Below are 20,109 nucleotides of genomic sequence, written 5' to 3' on the forward strand. Positions count from 1 at the left end.
AATGACATTTATAATGAGACAACAGCAAAGCTTTTTATCACCCAGAAACAGTCGCCCTCTTGCCAAACAGGGAAAAGATTTCAACAAGATAAAGACTAGCATTAGTACTGCCAGGATGTATTTCTACAACAACACTTCAGACACCACATACGTGGGTATTTTTTCCTCACACTAATTAATCCTCCAAATCTCTGGACACCAACTGGGTTAATGTCAGACTCCACAGGTTAAAGTCTGAGTCCCATAAGACTGTTCCCATTTTCAATGTCAGTCTCAAGTCCAGATCACCTGTACTTCTGACCATTGGCTCTAAATTGGGAGTTTCTAAGACCCCCTCCTCAGGTTTGGTAATTTTCAAAAATGACTCAGAGAACTCAGGCAAATAATTTATTCATTATTACTAGTTCATTGCAAAGGATAAAACTCAGGAACAGCCAGATTGGAGAGATGCACAGGGCAAAGTATGGGGAAGGGTTGTGGAGCTTCCTTGCCCTCTGTAGGTGCACCACATTTCCAGCACCTCTGTTTTCCATAGTTTAGGGATTTTTTAATGGAGGTTTCAATGTGTGGACATTAATTATAACGTCATTAGCCATTGATGATTGACTCAATCTTCAGCCCTTCTCTCCCTGTTAGAGGTTTGGGAGTGAGATCGAAAGTTCCAACCTTCTAATCATGTCTTGGACTTTCTAGTGACCAACTCCCATCCTGAAGCTATTCAGGAGCACCCAGCCACCAATCATCTCATTAGCATAAAAAAGGCACTAATCACTTGGGAGAATCCAAACATTTTTAGCAGCTCTGTGCCAGGAACAAGGGATAAAGCCCAATTATGTACTTCTTATATCACAATATGATAACCACTTTTTCCACATGCTTATGTTGTACTCTGTCTCTCCCTCATTGTTAATATAGCTATGAGACTCCAATGCCCAAAGGTATTCTATCACTGTTTCTTCCTGAATAAATTTTCTCTTTATATTAAAAGGAAAGATATAAGAGGGAAATAAAACAAAGATTAAAAAGTATTTCTCTTCTAGAAAAATGATAACAGAAGTAGAGAAAATAGCATTTTTAACAGAGATCTGCAAGAAGTGAACAAGTGTGTTATGCAAACATCTGTTATAAGAACATTCTAGGAAGAATAAATAACAAGTCCAAGTGTCAAAGTGGGCATATAGTTATGAAAGCTTCAGAAACTTTAAGACAATCAGGGTGGTTAAGTGAGGTAGAGAGCATGATAGAAGATGATGACACAGCTGTAGCTAGGAACCAGGTAGCATAAAACCTGTAAAGACTTTGTAAGGGTATTTATGCTAATAATTGTGAGGAATTATTGGAACAATTTTAACTGAGGAATGATAACATCTTAAATTCTAGAAAACATAGCTTCACAGCAAGATATTCATAGAAAATAACAAAAACCTTATAATCTTAGCCCAGTGCTTCTTGAAAGTAAAGCCTAGGACAAAGGCTTGTGTGTAGATAATTTATTTGAGAAGTGATCCCAGAAAGCAGAAATGGAGTTCTAGAAAAGTAGAAAAGGTAAAAAAGGAAAACAAATATACTGCTATATTGTTTGCCACTATTACAACTAACTGGTGCTCCATCTCACTGTGACCCTCTTTAAAATCTTAGAAATGTATCTTCAAAATGCCTGCCTGTGAAATAAAAGAGAAAATAATTTACACTTGAGCCCTCACCAGCCACAGTGGTCAAGGGTGGACCCATGTGGTATTAATTTCTCAGAATTTTGGGTTGTTAATTTATCAGTATGGAGCGGGATTTTGCAAGCTCCCATACCATGAGTTATAGTAGCCCCTGGACAGGAAGTGAAAGATGCTTCAGCATAGGCTGAGGCATAACGCAGTCAGAAAGGTGACAAAAGCAAACTTTGGGGAAATGACAGTCTCTTAAGTAAGTGCTGCTGGGAAAAATGGATATCTATATGGAAGAATGGAAAGAGACTGCTAATAATGCAGAAGAATGGAACTAGGCTGCTAGTATTATATGAAAAAATGCTCAATGCCACTAAACATCAGAGAACTGTAAATCAAAACCACAAGGAGATACCATCTTTCCCCAGTTAAAATGGATTCCATCCAAAAGATAGGCAATAATGAATATTGGCAAGGATGTAGAGAAAGGGGAATCCTCATATACCATAGGTAGGAATGTAAATTAGTACAGTCACTATGGAGGATAGTATTGAAGTGCTTCATAAAGCTAAAAATAGAACTACCATATGATTCAGCAATCCCAGTGCTAGGAAATTAGTATATTGAGGAGATATCTGCACTCCTATGCTTATTGCATCACTATTCACAATAGCAAAGGTTTGGAATCAACTTAAGTGTCCATCAACAGATGAATGGATAAAGAAAATGGGGTTCATATGCACAATGGAATATTTTTCAGCCATAAAAGGAAATGAAATCCTGTCATTTGAGACATCATGGATGTAACTGGAGGTCATTATGTTAAGTGAAATACGGGAGGCACGGAAAGAGAAATTGTGTATGTTCTCACTCATATGTAGAACCTAAAAATTAAAACAATTGAACTCATGAAGATAGAGTAGAATGATGGTTACCAGCAGCAGGGAAGGGTAGTAGGGAGTGGGGGTAAAAAGTGAGGATGGTTAATGGGTGCAAAAATGTAATTAAAATGAATAAGATCTAACATTTGATAGCACAACAGGATGACTACAGCCAGCAATAATTTACTGTATGTTTTAAAATAATTAAAAGAGTGGAATTAGAAGGTTCCTAACACAAAGAAATGATGAATGCTTGAGGTGATGGATACTCCAATGACCCTGATGTGTTTGTTAGACATTATATGCCTATATCAAAACATCATGTGTACCCATAATAATTAAAAATTAATTTAAAAATGCAGTCAAGTAGTACTACATGAAGCTGCTGGAAACTGGCTGACTCAATCAGTTAAGCAACGAGTAGAATAAAAGATATGTACTATTGCATAGGAAGTATAGATTATGGATTTCCAGATGAATTTATTCTGTCTGGAAATATTCTTCCAGAAGAGAACAATTTTCCCCTCTCTCCCTTGATGAATCTTTTTTGTATAATCAGAATTTAGCAAATGATGTTTTTCTCTTTCTTTCTTTTTTTTTTAACTTTCTCTCTTAAGAACTTATAATGAAATTTACACTACATATAAATTTCATTTCAAAATGATAAAAGCAAAGATGCTTTTTATCCTTGAAGGAGCAGTAGGGAAGAGAGAGAGAGTGATTTTCCAAAGCATTTTAAATGTTAATTAGATACAAATGTTATTTTTCAACATTTAAAATAATTATATATTAACAGTTCCCAATCTATTTATATCTTTGCAATTTTAACTTATTTAAATGGGATATTTCTAGTAGAAATGCAAGGATGTATGTGATTACAACTACTATTCATCAATGGTAATTTGTACATTAGCTTGGTATGAGCTACAAAGGTGTCCCTGAAATGACTGGGTACCACACTCCCAACCATGAGCGGTTATTTTAATAATATATGAATCTAGTACTTCTAATTTCTGTTCTGTTTGCTTTTTTACACATTTTCTTTTATAAAATTTATTTTTAATTGGCAGCTTTTATGTATTTACCATGAACAATATGTTGTTTTGAAACATGTATGTATTGTAGAATGTCTCAATCAAGCTAATTAATATATGCATTACCTCATATACTTTTAATTTGTTTGTGGAGAGAGCACGTAAAATCTACCCTCTTAGCAGTTTTTGAGAATGCAATACATTGTTATTAAGTATAGTCACCATATTGTGAAACTAGATCTATTGAACTTATTCTTCCTAACTGAAATTTTGTATTATTTGACGAACATCTCTCCATACCCTCAACCCCTACCCCTATACCCTGGGAACCACCATTCTCTTTCTGCTTCTGAGTTCAATGTTTTTAGGTTCCACGTATACGTGACATAATGTGGTATTTGTCTTTTTGTACCTGACTTATTTCACTTAACGTAATGTCCTCCAGGTTTATTTATGTTGTCATAAATGACAGGACTTTCTTCTCTTTAAAGAGTGATAGCATTCCACTGCGCATATATACACAACACATTGTCTTTATCTCTTCATGCATCTATGGAGGTTTAGGCTGATTCCATACCTTTGCTACTGTGAATAATGCCACAATAAATATTGAAGTACAGATATTTCTTCAACATACCAATTTCATTTCTTTTGGATATATTCCTAGCAGTGGGATTGCTGGATCATATGGTAGTTCTATTTTTTAATGTTTGAGGAATCTCCATATTGTTTTGCATAATGGCTTGCTAATTTACATACCCACCAACAGAACACAAGGGCTCCATTTCTCTACATACTTGTCAACACTTGCTATCTTTTGTGTTTTGCTAACAGACATCCTAACAGGTTTGAGGTGGTATCTCATCGTGGTTTTACTTTGCATTTCTCTGATGATTAGTGATACTGAGCATTTTGTTTCATATATCTTTGGGGCATTCGTATGTCTTCTTCTGAAAAATGTCTATTCAGGTCCTTTGCCCATTTTTAATCAGGTTATTTGTTTTCTTAGTCTTTAGTCATTTGAATTTCTTATCAATTTTGGTTATTAAACCTTATCAAATTTATGATTGAAAATACAGTAGTCACCTGCTTATCTGTGGAGGATATTTTCCAAGATCTACAGTGGATGCTTGAAATCACAAATAGTACTGATAATATACTGAATATAAAAGTTATGTGAATGCGGTCTCTTTCTCTCTCTCTCTCTCTCTCTCTCTCTCTCTCTATCTCTCAGAATATCCGATTGTACTGCATTCACCTATTTTTTGGATGGTTGACCATCAGTAACTGAAACTACTGAAAGCAAAACTATGGATAAAAGGGGGCTACTGTATTTTTCCTGTCCTGTTGGTTGTCTCTTCATCCTATTAATTGTTTCCTTGACTGTGCAGAGCTTTATACTTTGAGGTTATCTCATTTGACTATGCTTTTTTTTTTTTTTTTTTGGCCTGTGCTTTTGGAGTCACTGCCAAAAATATATTGCCAGACTAATGTCATAGAGATCTCCCACCGGCTTTTTTTGTTTTTAGCAGTTTTACAGTGTCAGGGCTTATGCTTAAGTCTTTTATCAATTTTGAGTTGGTTTTTGTATATGATGTGAAACAAAAGTCAAATTTTATTCTGCATGTGGATATTTAGTTGTCCCAATATCATTTATTGAACAGACTATCCTTTCCCCATTGTGTGTACTTGGCAGCTTTGCCAAAAATGCATTGACTGTAAATGTGTATATTTATTTCTGAACTCTCCATTCTGATCCATTGGTCTATGTGTCTTTTATAATGTTAACAACATGTTGGTTGCTATATCTTTGTGGCATATTTTGAAATTAATTAGTGTGATGCCTCCATCTTTGTTCTCTCTATTCAAGGTTGCTTTGACTATTTGGACTCTTTTTTGGTTTCATATAAATTTAGGATTTTTTTTCTATTTCTGTGAAAAATGTCATTGGAATTGTATAATAGAGGTGCCATTTAATCTGTAGATCACTTTGCCTAGGATGAATATTTTAAAGTATTAATCCTTCCAATCCATGAACACAGAATATCTTTCCATTTATTTATGTCATTCAATTTCTTTCATCAGTGCTTTAAAGAGTGTACAGGTTATTCACATCCTTGGTTAAATTTATGCCCATTATTTTTGTACTTATTTTAAATGAAATTGTTTTCTTACTTTCTGTGTTGGATTGTTCATTATTATTTTATAGAAACATTAGTGATTTTTTATATGTTGATTGCATATACTACAACTTTAGTGAATTTATGTATTAGTTCTAACAGAACTTTGGTGGAATCTTTAGGGTTATCTCTATATAAGATTATTTTATTTGAAAACAAGGAACTTTGACTTCATCTCTTGCCTAATTGTATGGATAGGACTTCCAATACTATGTTGAACAGTTGTGGTAGGAATCAGCATTCATGTCTTTTTTTCTGATATCAGAGGAAAAGCTTTGAACTTTTTACCATTGAGTATGATGTTAGCTTTGAGTTTGTCATACATGGCCTTCATTGTGTTAATGCATATTCCTTCTATATCTAATTTTTGAGAGCATTTATCATGAGAGGATGTTGAGTTTAGTTAAATTTTTTTCTGCATCTATTGAAATGATCATACGGTTTTTGACCTTCTTTCTATTAATATGGTGTGTCATATTTATAGATTTTTGTATGCTGAACCATTCTTGCATCCCCAATATAAATCTCAACTGATCTTGGTAAATAATGATTTTAATGTGCTGTTGAATTTTGTTTGCTAGTACTTTATGCTGAGGATTTTTCCACCAAAAAAAATTGATATTACAGGGATAGTAACCTTAATTTTGTTTCTTTTTTTTTTTTTTTGGCAGTATCCTTGTCTGATTTTCATATCAGAGTAAAGCTGGCCTCATAAAATGAGTTTGAAGTATTTCCTCTTCTTCAACTTTTTGGGAGAGTTTGAGAAGGATTGGTATTAGCCTTAAATGTTTGGTAGAATTCAGCAGTAAAGCCATCAGGTCCTGGGCTTTTCTTTGATGGGAGACTTCTTATTTAATCCTTGTTAGTAACGATTTGATCTTCCTACTCATTATTGGCCTGTTCAGAGTTTCTATTACAGGTGGAGTGTCCCTAATACAAAAATCTGAAATCTGAAATGCTCCAAAATCTGAAAATTTTTAGAGCTGATATGATGCCACAAGTGGAAAATTCTATACCTGACCTCATGTGATGGATCACAGTCAAAATACAGGCACACTACACAATTTATTCAACATCCCCCAGGAAAAAACATCCAGCTTCTTGCAGCTGTGAAATAACTTTTCCACACTTGCTCAGATTCCCCCATGCAAGTATTCCCACATAGGGTAATAAAATGATATGCATGCAGGCCAGATATGCCAACAACAAGTTCCCTGTGATGCCTCATACAGGGTAAAGTTCGATGTGCATTACCCACTGTATTTTTGCTTATTCACTACCCTGTGGTGTAAAAATATTGCTGAAAATGTCAAAAGGACCTACAGATTTTTCTATAGTTAACAGTTGTAAGAATAAAAGCATTCATGTTCATCTGTAGCACAAAAAGTCAAACTGAACAATAATGTGTGTAATGTCTTACAGAAGAGTATGATGTTGGAATGACCTCTTTATAAAACCTGAAGAAAGAGAAGGATAAACTGTTGAAGTGCTATAATGAAAGTGATCAACAGAAGTTAATGATAAATAGTAAAACACTTTATAAAGCTAAAATGAAGATCTTGATTGTGTTTTGAAAGAGTGAATCTGTCAGCACTGAAGTAAACATATGCTACTTAATGGTATGCTGATCATGAAACAAGCAAAGATCTATCACAATGAACTATAAATTGAATAGAAATGTGAATATTCAACAGAATGGTTGCAGCAATTTAAGAAAAGACACGACATTAATTTAAAAAAAATGTGTTGATAACATATTTACTTGTCACAAAGGAGTAGAAAATTCATCAATGTATTTCCCAAAGTTATCACTGATGAAGATCTGATGCCAAGTCTACAGACTGTAATAAACCAAATCTATAACGCTGATTAAACATCACTGTCTTGGTGTTATTGCTCTGGAAAGACACTGACTACAACCAATAAGACAGCCCCTATAGAAATTAAGGATGCCATGGGTAGAATGACTGTGCTGGGATATGCTAATGCAGTAGGCATGCATAAGTGTAAACTTGCTGTCATAGTCAAAAGTTGTGTCCTCAGTGTTTTCGGGGAGTGAATATCCTACCAGTACATTATTGCCTTAACAAAAAAGGCATAAATCACCAAGGACATCTTTTCCCATTGGTTTCACAAACCTTTGTTTTCAATGGCTTGCGCTTACTGCTGGAAAGATGGACTTGATGAAAACAGCCAGATTTTGTTATTTCTTGAAAATTTTTCTTCTCCTCCTCCAGCTATAATTCTCATCAAACATAACTTTTATAGCATGTACTGTCCCCCAAATGTGACTTCATGAATTCAGCCCTGTGACCAGGGTATTCTTAGATCAATGAAGAGTATATATAGAGAAAGTATATATATACTGTAATGTACACATACACATATATATATATATACACACACACACACACACACACATATAAAGCACTTTCTTGAACAACACACTAACAGCAGCGAATGAATATGTGGGTGGGTGTGGAAGGTTTTCAGGAGGAGTGTATCATGATGGACGCCATATATTCTGTTTTCAGTGAGTTGGAACACAGTAACTAAAGACACAGTTGTTCATGTCAGGCACAATCCCTGTCATGTGAATATGTTCATTAATGAAAACAACCCAGGTGTTCACTTTGAAGGACTCTATGTCAGGAGATAATAAAATAATGTATGACTTCCTTCAATCCTCAGAAACAGACCTCCAGAGTCCATCAGTAAGGAGAAACAAATGACTATCAAATAACTTTTTAATGTCAATAATGAGACTCCAGTTATTCATTTACTGATAAATGGAGAAATAGCCAAAACGATTCTGAAGCAAGGTGATAATAATAATAGTAACAATCAAAATGCTGTTGTTAATAGTGCAGAACAAGCTCCTATAGACAACATAGTAAATATGTGTGATGGGCTTTTTTCAAGGACTAGAGCAGCATGTATTGTAAGCCATGATATAAAGAACCATAAAGCATATCAGTTTATAAAATCAAAGACAGATTTCTAAAACACATATTGTTAATGAAACAAATGATTCTGGAGGAAACATTTTAAAAAGCCATCTTTCCAAATTTCTTCTCATTTCTAGAGGAACCACTTTCTCTTCCCTCAACTGTTTCCAATGTTTCTTTTTATCTAAAAAAAAAAATGATGTACAGTAATCTCTTAATGAAAACAAAGCGTCATAGGTAGAGAGTGAAAGTCTGCTGTTTTTTAGTGTTGTTGTTATTCAACCATTTACACAAGTATTCTGGGGTTGCTACTGTGTTGCTTAGTTACCCTGAACACATTATTTTTTCACTTTATAATAGCATGTCATATGTTTTACTGTTAAGTACGTATGTGTAAGTATAAGAAAATGATTGTTTATCAGTTGCGTATAAATTCAGAATCAGGAATGATGGTGATACCAAACAACCACAGATCGTACAGAAGTGGCTGAGATAGTGACACCTTTGCTTTCTGTTGGTTCAGTATATTCAAACTTTGTTGCATGCATATAATTGAAAATATTATATAAAATCACCTTCAGGCCATGTTAAGGAATATATGAAGGACCCAGTGAATTTTGTATTTAGATTTGGGTCCCATCCCCAAGATATCTCATTATGTACATGCACATATTCCAAAATCTGAAAAAATTTTAAGTCCAAAACACTCTAGTCTCAAGCATATCAGATAAGGGATACTCAACCAGTACTTCATGATTCAGTCTTGGTAGATTATGTATGTTTATTGTTTTTCTAGTCTTTCTCTCATTTGATTTTGTTCTGGTCTTTACTATTTCGTTCCTTCTGCTAACTTTGAGCTTGATCTTCTTTTTCTAGTTCTGGGAAGTGTAATATTATGTTGTTTATTTGACATCTTTCTTTTTTTTGATGTAGGCATTTATTGCTACCAACTTTCCTCTTTGGATTGCTTTCGTTGCATTCCTTAAGTTTTGGTTTTATTTTCCATTGTCTTTCATTTTCATTTGTTTGAAGATAATTTAAATTTTTCCTTTTAATTTCTTCAGTGACTGATTGGTTGTTCAGAAGCATGTTGTTTAATTTCCATGTATTTCATACTTTCCAAAATATCTCTTGTTATTGATTCCTTGTTTTATACCATTGTGATCAGAAATAAAGATTGATATAATTTTAATTTTCTTAAATTTATTAAAACTTGTTTTGTTGCCTAACATATAGGCTATCCAGGAGAATGTCCCATGTACACTTGAGAAGAAAGTATTTCCTGTTACTGTGGAATATAATACTCCGTACATGTTGGTTAGGTCCATTTGGTCTAAGATGTAGTTTAAGTCCCATGTTTCCTTATTGATTTTCTGTCTGAATGAACTGTCCATTGCTGGAAATGGAGCAATGAATTTCTCTAATATTATTATATTATAGTCTATCTCTCCCCTCAGATATTTAATATTAGTTTTATGTATTTACACACTACAATATTTATATGTTTATATTGTTATAGCCTCTACTAAGTTGACCCATTTAACACTATATAATGACCTTTTAATCTTTTTTTCAGTTTTTGACTTAAAGCCTGTCTTATCTAAGTATAGCTACTTATTTTGGTTTTCATTTGCATGTACATCTTTTTTCATTTATTTACTTTCAGCCTCTATGTGTCTTTACATGTGAAATGAATCTCTTAAAGGAAGCACATAGTTGGGTCTTGTTTATTTAATGTATTCAGCCACTCTATATTTTTGATTGGACAAATTAATTAATTTATATTCAAGGTAATTATTGATAGGTAAGAACTTATTGCTGTCTTCCTGTTAATTGTTTTCTGGTTATTTTGTAGATCTTTTGTTTCTTTCTTCTACTCTCGATGCCTTCCCTTCCATTGTGATGAAGTACTATTTTCTTTAGTGATAGACTTTTATTCCTACTTTTTTATCTTTGGTATATCTATTATGTATTTTTGCTTTGTGGTTACTGTAAAACTTAAAATATATATATTTTTTATAGTTGTAAGAGGCTGCATTAAAATAATAACAACTTAGGCCAGGTGCAGTGGCTCACACCTGTAATCCCAGCAATTTGGGAGGCCGAGGCAGGTGGATCACCTGAGGTCTGGAGTTCAAGACCAACCTGGACAACATGGCGAAACCCCGTCTCTATTAAAAATATAAAAATTAGCAGGACATGTTGGCACACATCTGTAATTCCAGGCACTCGGGAGGGTGAGGCAGGAGAATCACTTGAACCTGGGAGGTGAAGTTTGCAGTGAGCCGAGATCGCGCCACTGCACTCCAGCCTATGCAACAGAGTGAGACTCTGTCTCAAAAAAAAAAAAAAAAGATAACAACAACTTAAATTTGAGAGCATTAAGAAACTCTACATTTTCATTCCACTCCATCTTGACATGTATTTTGATGTTTTAATTTACATATTTTAATAGTGTGTTTTTGTTAACTAATTATTGTAATGATAATTATTTTAAATATTTTTTTGAACTTTCATACTAAATATATAAGTGGTCTATACACCAGCATTACATTATTAGATTATTCTTAATTTGTACCTACTTTTTCAGTACTCACTTTTATCAGTCAGTTTTACACTTTCATATGTTTCATGTTACTGGCTTGAAGAACTCCCTTTATCCATTTTTGTAAGACAAGTCTAATGATAAGTTAACCCCTCAGCTTTTGTTTGTCTGGGAAAGTCTAACATTCCTTCATTTCTAAAACACAGATTTGCTGGGCACAATATTCTTAGCTGATAGTTTTTTTCCTTCAACACCTAAGTAATTCATCCCACTGGCTCCTGGCCTGTAAGTGCTCTGCTGAGAAATATGTTGCTCGTTTTATTGGCCCTCCTTTATATGTTATTCGATTCTTTTTTATTGCTGCTTTCAGGATTTTCTCTTTGTCTTTAATTTTTGACAGTTGGAGATCTTTGACCTTCCTGTACCTAGATATTTATATCTTTCCTCAAATTTTGAAAGTGTCTGCTATTGTGTTTAAAAGTAATCTTTCTACCCTCTTTTTTCTCATCTTCTATACTTTTATGATTTAAATATGTGCTGCTTGATGCTGTTCAATAAATTCCATAAGGATCTTTTATTCTTTTTTTTAATTATTTCTCCTCTGACTGTATATTTTTAAATATTCTTTTTTGAGTTCACAGATTTTCTTTGTTGTGGTAAATTCTGCTGTTGATGTTCTCTAATGCATTGTTAATTTCATTCATTGTATTTTTCAGCTCTAGAATTTCCTTTATTCTATATATTATTGATTCTTTATTAAATGTATTATTTTGGGTCATTTATTGTCTTCCTCATTTTATTTACTCATTTTTCTGTGTTTTGTTAAAGTTCACTGAGCTTCCTTAAAACAATTATTTGGAATTCTTTCTCAAGCAGTTTTTATATCTCCATTTTCTTAGATCAGCTAGTGGGAGATTTTGTTCTTTTGGTGATGTTCTTCTATATCCTTGGTTTTTCATGGTTCTTATTGCCTTACGTTGATGTGTATGCATTAGAAATAGTTTATTATTCCAGGTTCTTTGTCTGGGAAACCCTACTTCAGTCAGTCTGTCCAGAGATTCTGAGCAGGCCACCTGGCATGATTCAACAGTTGGCTTATTGCTGGAATCTAAAGTCGAGTTGTCCTGCTGCCTAGGTCAGGAGGTAGGTGGGCCTAGTACCTATGGCTTTCCTAAGCCTGTGTCCACAGGGGCTGCCTTGGCACCGGGGTGGGCCATGAGCCTGAGTCTTCAAGGGCTGGCTACCCACTAGGAAGGGTTTGGCATTTGGTTCCATTGGGATGAAAATGGAGCCTTAACTCCACAGGAATAGGTCTGGGTCCTGAGTCCATGAGGACTGGCTTGGAACCTGGGTCTACAGGGGTGTTCTTGGGCCCTGAGTGTCCTCAGTGTCCATAGGGTGTGCCTTGGCACTGGAGTATACTATGGTGGGCCTTGGCCTTGGGTCCTCCGGAGTCCAGGGCATGTGGACTTGCCTGTAATCTTTATCTGCTGATGCTGGCCTAGAGGCTAGATGTATAGGTACTGGCCTAGAGGCTTGGTCTGTGAGAACTGGACTGGGTCCTGGGTCCTCAGTCAATAGCCTGGAACCTGGTTAAACAAAAGAAGTCTTGGGGCCTGTGTCCATGGTTACCTGTTTGATGTTTGAGGCCAGAAGTGCCAACTTGGCATTAGGGCAGACTTGAAGTCTAGGACCACAAGAACTGGCTTAGCAGTGAATGAACCTAGATTATATCCACAGGAACTTGCCTGGAGGCTGAGTTTTCAAGTGATGACCTAATGACTAGGGCTGCAGGGGCCAGTGTGGCATTGGGTTTGGCCCAGCACATGGGTCCACTAGGGTGATCCAGAGCCTGAGACTACTGGGATCAGCCTGGTGCTAAGAAAGGCCCAGAAAGAGTCCGCAAGGATAGCCTGATTTCTGCAACTATGGGAACTTGCTTAGTGCCAGGGTGGACTTGGAGGCCCTGTAGGTGGGTACCAGCCTGGAATCTGATGCCACAGGCAGTGGCATGGCAATGGCTGGACCTGGATCCTGTGTCTGCAGGGGATTGCCTGGGAGTTGAGTTTGTAGGTATTGACCTGATAACTGGGGCTGCAGGAGTAGACTTTTAGCTGATGAAGGCCTAAAGCCTGGGGCAATGGCCAAGCTCAGTGCTGGCGCATTCAGGAGTCTTGGGTCTCTGGGGTTGGCCTAGGGTATGGGCAAATCAGAGCCTGAGGCTGCTGTGGGCCAGCCTTGTGCTGGATGAGGTCCAGAGCCTGGGGCTACTGAGGTCAGCACAGTGGTGGAGCAGACTGAAGATCAAGTCTGTTGCTCAGGCCTGGAGCCTAGGGCTATAGAATCTAACCTGGTGCTAGAGCAGATCTAGAGGCTTAGTCCACAGGTACTGTCCTGGAATCTGCGGCTCTGGGGCCCTGCCCAGCATTAGTTTTTTGGGGGGACAGGACTGGTGTTGGGATCTGAAGCAAAGTCCTATGTTCACATTCCTCTCCTTCCTCATGTGGAAAATATATCTCTCCATGCTTTCTTGCTTGGAGCTGGTGGAAGGGTGACATAGGTAATGTAATACTATCTTTCCTACATTCTTCAATGGGTATTTTCTTATTTCTGCACTATACACAGGTGCTACAATCTCTTATCTGGTTTCCTTAGCTCTTATGAAGGTATTTTTGTGTGTGAATAGTTGTTTAAATTGATGTTTCTGCAGGAAATAAGCACTAGGGTGTCCTATTTTCCATCATCTTGCTGACATTGACCCTCTTTCCTTCTGTACTCATTTTGAAGACAAAAAGCACAGTCCTAATGTCATGTATTTGTTATTTGTTGAGTGTCTGCTAATGCTGGGCTCTGATAAAAGCTCTGGAAATACAACAGTAAGGAAAACAGGTACAAATTCTTTCCCTCAGAGAGCTCACACTTGTCAGGGAAGGTTACTTGTATATACCCTACTAACAGTACTTTAGGAAAGAGGCCATATGCTATGATGAGGCTACTATGAATTGCGTCATGTTGGAAAATAATGTTTCTCCCTTCAAAGTTCTACTTTGGTGCTATTCATATTTTAGTATTGGGGGATAGATTGTCCTTGGGGTGTGGATAAACCATTATCTTCTCTATTTCACTTCGCTGTCTACAAAATTTATTATACTGCCAAGTTGCTGTGGTCACCCATTAAGATTTGTGATTTTATAACTTGAAGGTATATGCATACTGCTTCCCTAAAAGAAAGGATTCAGCCTTTACTGTTTTTACATATATGTAAAAAGTGCTGAGTTAGAATGACCTGACTCGTTGCAGGAAGATTGTCCTTCTTTTTCACTTTGTGCCTTCACTCTCAGTGACACAGTACAGAAACTGTGCTCATAGTTCAACCTAGAATGGCTTTACCAGATAGAGGGTGAACATTTTGGATTGTATATATAAGAACGGCTGTGCTCCTTTTTCATCTCACTCAAATGTATCTCTTACTTTCTGCAGTGGGATGGCTGTATTTAATATGTGCTTTAAAGTATCAGTCAGTACCTGTTTCAATATTAGCCACAATGAAAGAGAGGGGTCATGGAACGTGTCAGCCTAACTAGGACTGATTTTGTCTACATACATGTTTTTAAATGTATGATCAGTAACAATACATATGACTCCTTTCCCTTAAGATGCACATACAATATTGAAGTCTTTTTTACTCTGATAATGTTTTCTAGAACACAGCCTTGATTCCTTAATTGCACTTAACATCAACTTGAAAGTCTGGCTCAAATGTTTGTAATTGTACTATCATTTGCAAACTTAACTTCAGCCATGCTATGTTTCCTTTAATAATTTAGAGGAGGATAGAGATAGAGAGAAAGCAACAGAACACACAAATATATCAAAATGTTAACAATAATTTTATTTAAGTGAAAATCATATGAGTCTTTTATCATAGTTTTGTAACTTTTCTATAGTTATTAACTTTTTTTAAATGTGAAGTATAATTTTAATTTTTTTCTGAAAAATAAATTGTAATGAGAAATAAAGCAAAGAGATGGGGAAATACAGAATAAAAGAGACTAAGAAGCATAGAAGATGGTAATATATGGGCCTTAATGGAATTTTGTTTTGAACAACCTATTTTTAAATATTAGAGAATTGGAGCTATTTGCACACACTGACTGGGATATTTGATGACAATAAAAAATGATTGTGGTTTCTCTACTGTTTTTGTTTCTTTGTTTTGGTCTGATATTGCTTTTGTGATTATGTTCTTTAAGTCATCCTGATTTAGAGAGATATACTGAAATATTTACAGATAAAGTGATATAAAGCTAGGAAGACATTTAAAAATTATTTGAGTAAGATGAAAGGGTATGAGATGGGATAGGATACAATAAATCAAGATTGATCCTGAGTTCATAGTTATTGAAGCTGAATAGTGGATACATAGGGATTATTATACTCTTCTGTCTTTTTTATGTGCTTAAAAGTTTAGAAATAATTAAATGCTATGGACAAGAATATTTGGGTTTAAATATGGAGTGAACATTTGCTCATTATATCCTGGAGCTACTTAACTTTCCTGTGCTTCATTATTTCCATCTGTAAAGTGAGGAAATGAAAAGAATCAGGATTAAATGAGTTAATACATCCAAATTATTCATCAGTGACTGACCCTAAATAAGCACTAGCTAATAGCTATAGTTACTTTTAAATTACTGTTTTTATTTTTAAAACTGGGCTGAAGCTAATATTTTTGAAGAATGCAATTTGACCAAGAAGTCTGTTCCGCTAAAAACCTCCCCACTTTTGTAGACTGGGTAAACAGAAACCAATTATTGCTTCTCTAGAGGAATATCAAACTTATTAAAAAAAAAAAACACCTTACAACATAATAAGAGCTAATCAAATATTTAGAGAGAGGAAGTAGCTTTATTGTAATTATAATGAATGGGGAAAATCAACTAGTTTACCATGAAATTTCTGTTGGTTTAAGATTGTCCAGAGAGCTAATTCAGCTTTAATCCCAAAATTATTTTCATTTCCTCTATTGATTAGAATGTTATCTCTGCCTCAAACGCTTTAGCCATGAAATCATATTACTTAATTTTTGTTTCCTTTAAATTGACTAATCCATAAAGTATTATTTTGAAGATTTTAGTGAAAATTCAATAAGCAATTTGGGTCTATATTACTTACTTTTACCTTTTTAAGCTAAGAGTTTTTAACATATTGGAAGAATCAATTAGTATAAGTAGGAATAATTGACAAATTTGCTGAGAAATGGTGCATTACTTATTGAAATTGATGGAATTATGCATAAAAAATTAAGTTATTTTGTGATTTATCACTGTCTTAGTTCATTTGTGTTGTTCTAAAAGAATACTTGAGGCTGGGTAATTTATACAGAAAATAGGTTTATTTGACTCATGGTTCTGCAGGCTGTACAAGAAGTATGGTGCTGTCATCTGCATCTGATGAGGGCCTCAGGCTGCTTCCACTCATAATGGAAGGGGAAGGGGAGCTGGTGGGTGCAGAGATCACACGGTACAAGAGGAAGCAAGAGAGAGCTATAGGAAGATGCTAGGATCTTTTTAACAACCAACTCTCAAGAAAATTAATATAGTAAGAACTTACCTCAATCCTCCATGGAGGGTGTTAATCTATTGATGAAGGATCTGCCCTTATCACCCAAACACCTCCCATTAGGCCCCACCTCCAGCATTGAAAATCACACTTTAACATGAGATTTAGAAGGGAAAATTATCCAAACTGTAAGAGTCACCTTTGTTGTGCAGTTGATACAACTAATAAAACATAACAATAGATTATTATCTTTAAAATGAGAAAGTAAGCTATGTATTATGGCAAATGTATGCATTGATTACTATAAACTATGCCTCCCAAACCATGGTGAACTTTACTATATGTGATGTATGCATGAATATACAGTGCAATAACATAAGCAAAGTATTAGTCATGTATTAAATTACTGGTGAACCACTTTTCAGTATTGTAGAAACAATTTAAACAAATTGCTTTAATTTCAGACTATAAGTCCTTTCTAGTTTGTGTATTTAAGGAGGATAAGTGCCATTGCCATATAGAGGACTACATTTTATTTAAAAATATCAGTGCTAAAAGTGTGTTTTATAATAGTAAGTAAGAGACTTGAATATATAGTTAGGATTTTTTTTTTTTTTTTTTTTTTTGAGGCAGATTCTTGCTCTGTCGCCCAGGCTGGAGTGCAGTGGCACAATCTCAGCTCACTGCAACCTCTGCCTCCCACGTTCAAGCAATTCTCCTGCCTCGGCCTCCGAGTAGCTGGGATTACAGGTGCCTGCCACCATGCCTGGTTAATTTTTATATTTTTAGTAGAGACAGTGTTTTATCATGTTGGTCAGGCTGGTCTTGAACTCTTGACCTCAAGTGATCCACATGCCTGGGCCTTCCAAAGTGCTGGGACTGCAGGCATGAGCCACGGCGCCAGGCCTAGTTATTCTGAATTTTAAAGGAGTTGTATATAAGATAATCTGGAAGTTAGAAACATATTTTACAGTGAGGTCTGAAGTTTAGGTCTTCTTCACATCATGAATAATGTTTACACACGGAAACATTGTCCAATTTTCACTTATTCAGTGAAAGAATTGGACAGTGTTTCCGTGTGTAAACTTTATTCATGTCTGGCAACATTGAATTGAACACTGCATCTGGTGAGGGGCTCAGATTGCTTCCACTTATGGCAGAAGGAGAAGGGGAACCAACAGGTTCAGAGATCACATGTGGCGAGAGGGGGCAAGAAAGAGCTTCAAGGAGGTGCTAGGCTCTTTTGCCATTATTTGTGACACTTACTTCATTGACATTTAAGTAAGCATGAAATAGCAAGTAATTTATCTTTAATGTAACTTAAAATCCACAGTCAAACATTTGGCCATTTTATGCATTGCAAACAAAAGCTAATGATGACTGGCTATATGTTCATCTTCTCAGGGGTTTGGTTATATCACTGTCTTTATTTACTGTGAGTATGATGAAAACAATCTGCTTGTGCAGTTTAATCCTTTTCAGTTTAGGTAAATAACTGAAATAACCGCAGAAAAGGGTTTTCTTTTCCAATAAATAGAGATTATTTTAATGTTCATTCTAAATTGATATGGGTCAGGATAAAAAAAAATCAGTCCAGTTAAATGCCTAGATGGAATGAATAATAAGTTACTATATAGATAATTGAAACAAACAAAATACAAAACTTGTATATTTGTGCACAAATATAGACCTTTTCAAACAGAACACATTTTACATGTTCAGAATAGAAAAATTTTATGTTAGCTGAGTCATTGCCAGGAATCCACAGTTGAATCAAGATAGCTATGTGATTTTCAGTTTTTATGCTAACCTAGCATAGGAACTTGTTCAATCAAGGACTTCTATTTATTTCTATCATTTGCATTTCTCCTCCACATTTGTGCTATTTTTCTGTTATTTATCTTGGCTTCTTCTGTTAGTCTTTTAATTTTTAAGTTATAATTTATTCTAACTTGGTTTTCTAGTATTTGCTTTCTTTTTCTCTTTGCTGTATTCTGTTTCTAACTCTAATTATTGTACTATAGTTGACAACTGCTAAAACAAAGTAAACACAGGGGAGAGCTAATTGTATCCTTCCTTGAAATTTTATTTTTCAGGACTATGCTGAGAAGGAAAATACCATAGCAAAAGCTCTGGAAGATCTGAAGGCAAATTTTTACTGTGAACTCTGTGACAAGCAGTACTATAAGCACCAGGAGTTTGACAATCACATTAATTCATATGACCATGCTCACAAGCAGGTAAGAAAGAGATGTGAAAAAATTCTGGCATTTCTGGACTTGTGTAATAGTTTTAATTGTGTAGACTCTATGAATATGATATGATATTCTTATTTAATTTAATTTGCTGTACAGTTTTGAAATATATCATTCTGGGATGATAATTTGATGACTTACAGCAAAATCCTTTTTTTTTTTTTTAAAAAAAAAGGCACCAATAGCAAAGTCTGAAATAATCAACATAAAGAAATACCATTCAATTGCCTTTTAATGAGTAAAAGTGTTTCGAAAACAATATTCTACAAGTGATGATCCTCTTATTGTCCTCAAATGTATTGTTTTAAATATTTAAATCAATAATTTATGCATTATATTATATATTTATTGCATGTTATTTATAAATCTAATATATACATATATTTATCAAAGTTAAATAAAATTTAACATAGTTTTCCATAGAAAGCATTTTGGATTTAAGCTACTATGAAAACATGTGAAAAAAAGATTGAGTGTACTACAAATGGTCCTAGGTTATTGATTGAGTACTTAATATATCTATGATTTTGTTCATTTTAATATTTTCATTTTATTGTCAATTATAAATCCCAGATTAATTATTACTATCAATTATAAATCCTAGATTTTTCAACACTCTATGTAAATGAGTTTTAAATAGTAGTGTTATAAATGTAATTAATACAAATTCCACTTTCTAATATGCCTTATATTTACCAATGCAACTTCATTCATTGTTTAGCTAACTTGATACAATACACAGTATTAGCATTAATTTATAAACATTTTCTATTTTAGCTATCACCCTCAAATACCATGCCGAGTACTCATTTTGATATGAATTTAAAGGTACATTTTTAAGCAGTTGAACCTGCCCTAACTTTCTGTTATATCAGAGTTATTTATTGTAAGAAAGAAAAAGTAGGGAAAGTGATCATGTTAAACGATAATGAACCAATTGTGTGTACTTCCTTTGCTGTCAATCCTGCAGTCGTTCATACCAACTACACTGTGCTTGGAGAGGATGGTGTAGGGAAGAATTTACCCTTCAATTACATACTTCACCG

The 20,109-nt window shown here is 34.9% G+C and overlaps 1 protein-coding gene across 1 annotated transcript in view; it reads left to right on the forward strand.

Moving 5' to 3' along the window:
- Nucleotides 1-20,109, forward strand: part of ZNF804A (zinc finger protein 804A) — a 340,964-nt gene that overhangs the window by 248,936 nt on the left and 71,919 nt on the right. The window contains exon 2 of the mRNA NM_194250.2: nucleotides 18,905-19,048. Within this exon, the coding sequence (NP_919226.1) occupies nucleotides 18,905-19,048 (144 nt within the window). The remainder of the gene's footprint in view (nucleotides 1-18,904; nucleotides 19,049-20,109) is intronic.

This window comes from Homo sapiens, chromosome 2, assembly GCF_000001405.40.
Source record: "Homo sapiens chromosome 2, GRCh38.p14 Primary Assembly".
Taxonomy (NCBI): domain Eukaryota; kingdom Metazoa; phylum Chordata; class Mammalia; order Primates; family Hominidae; genus Homo; species Homo sapiens.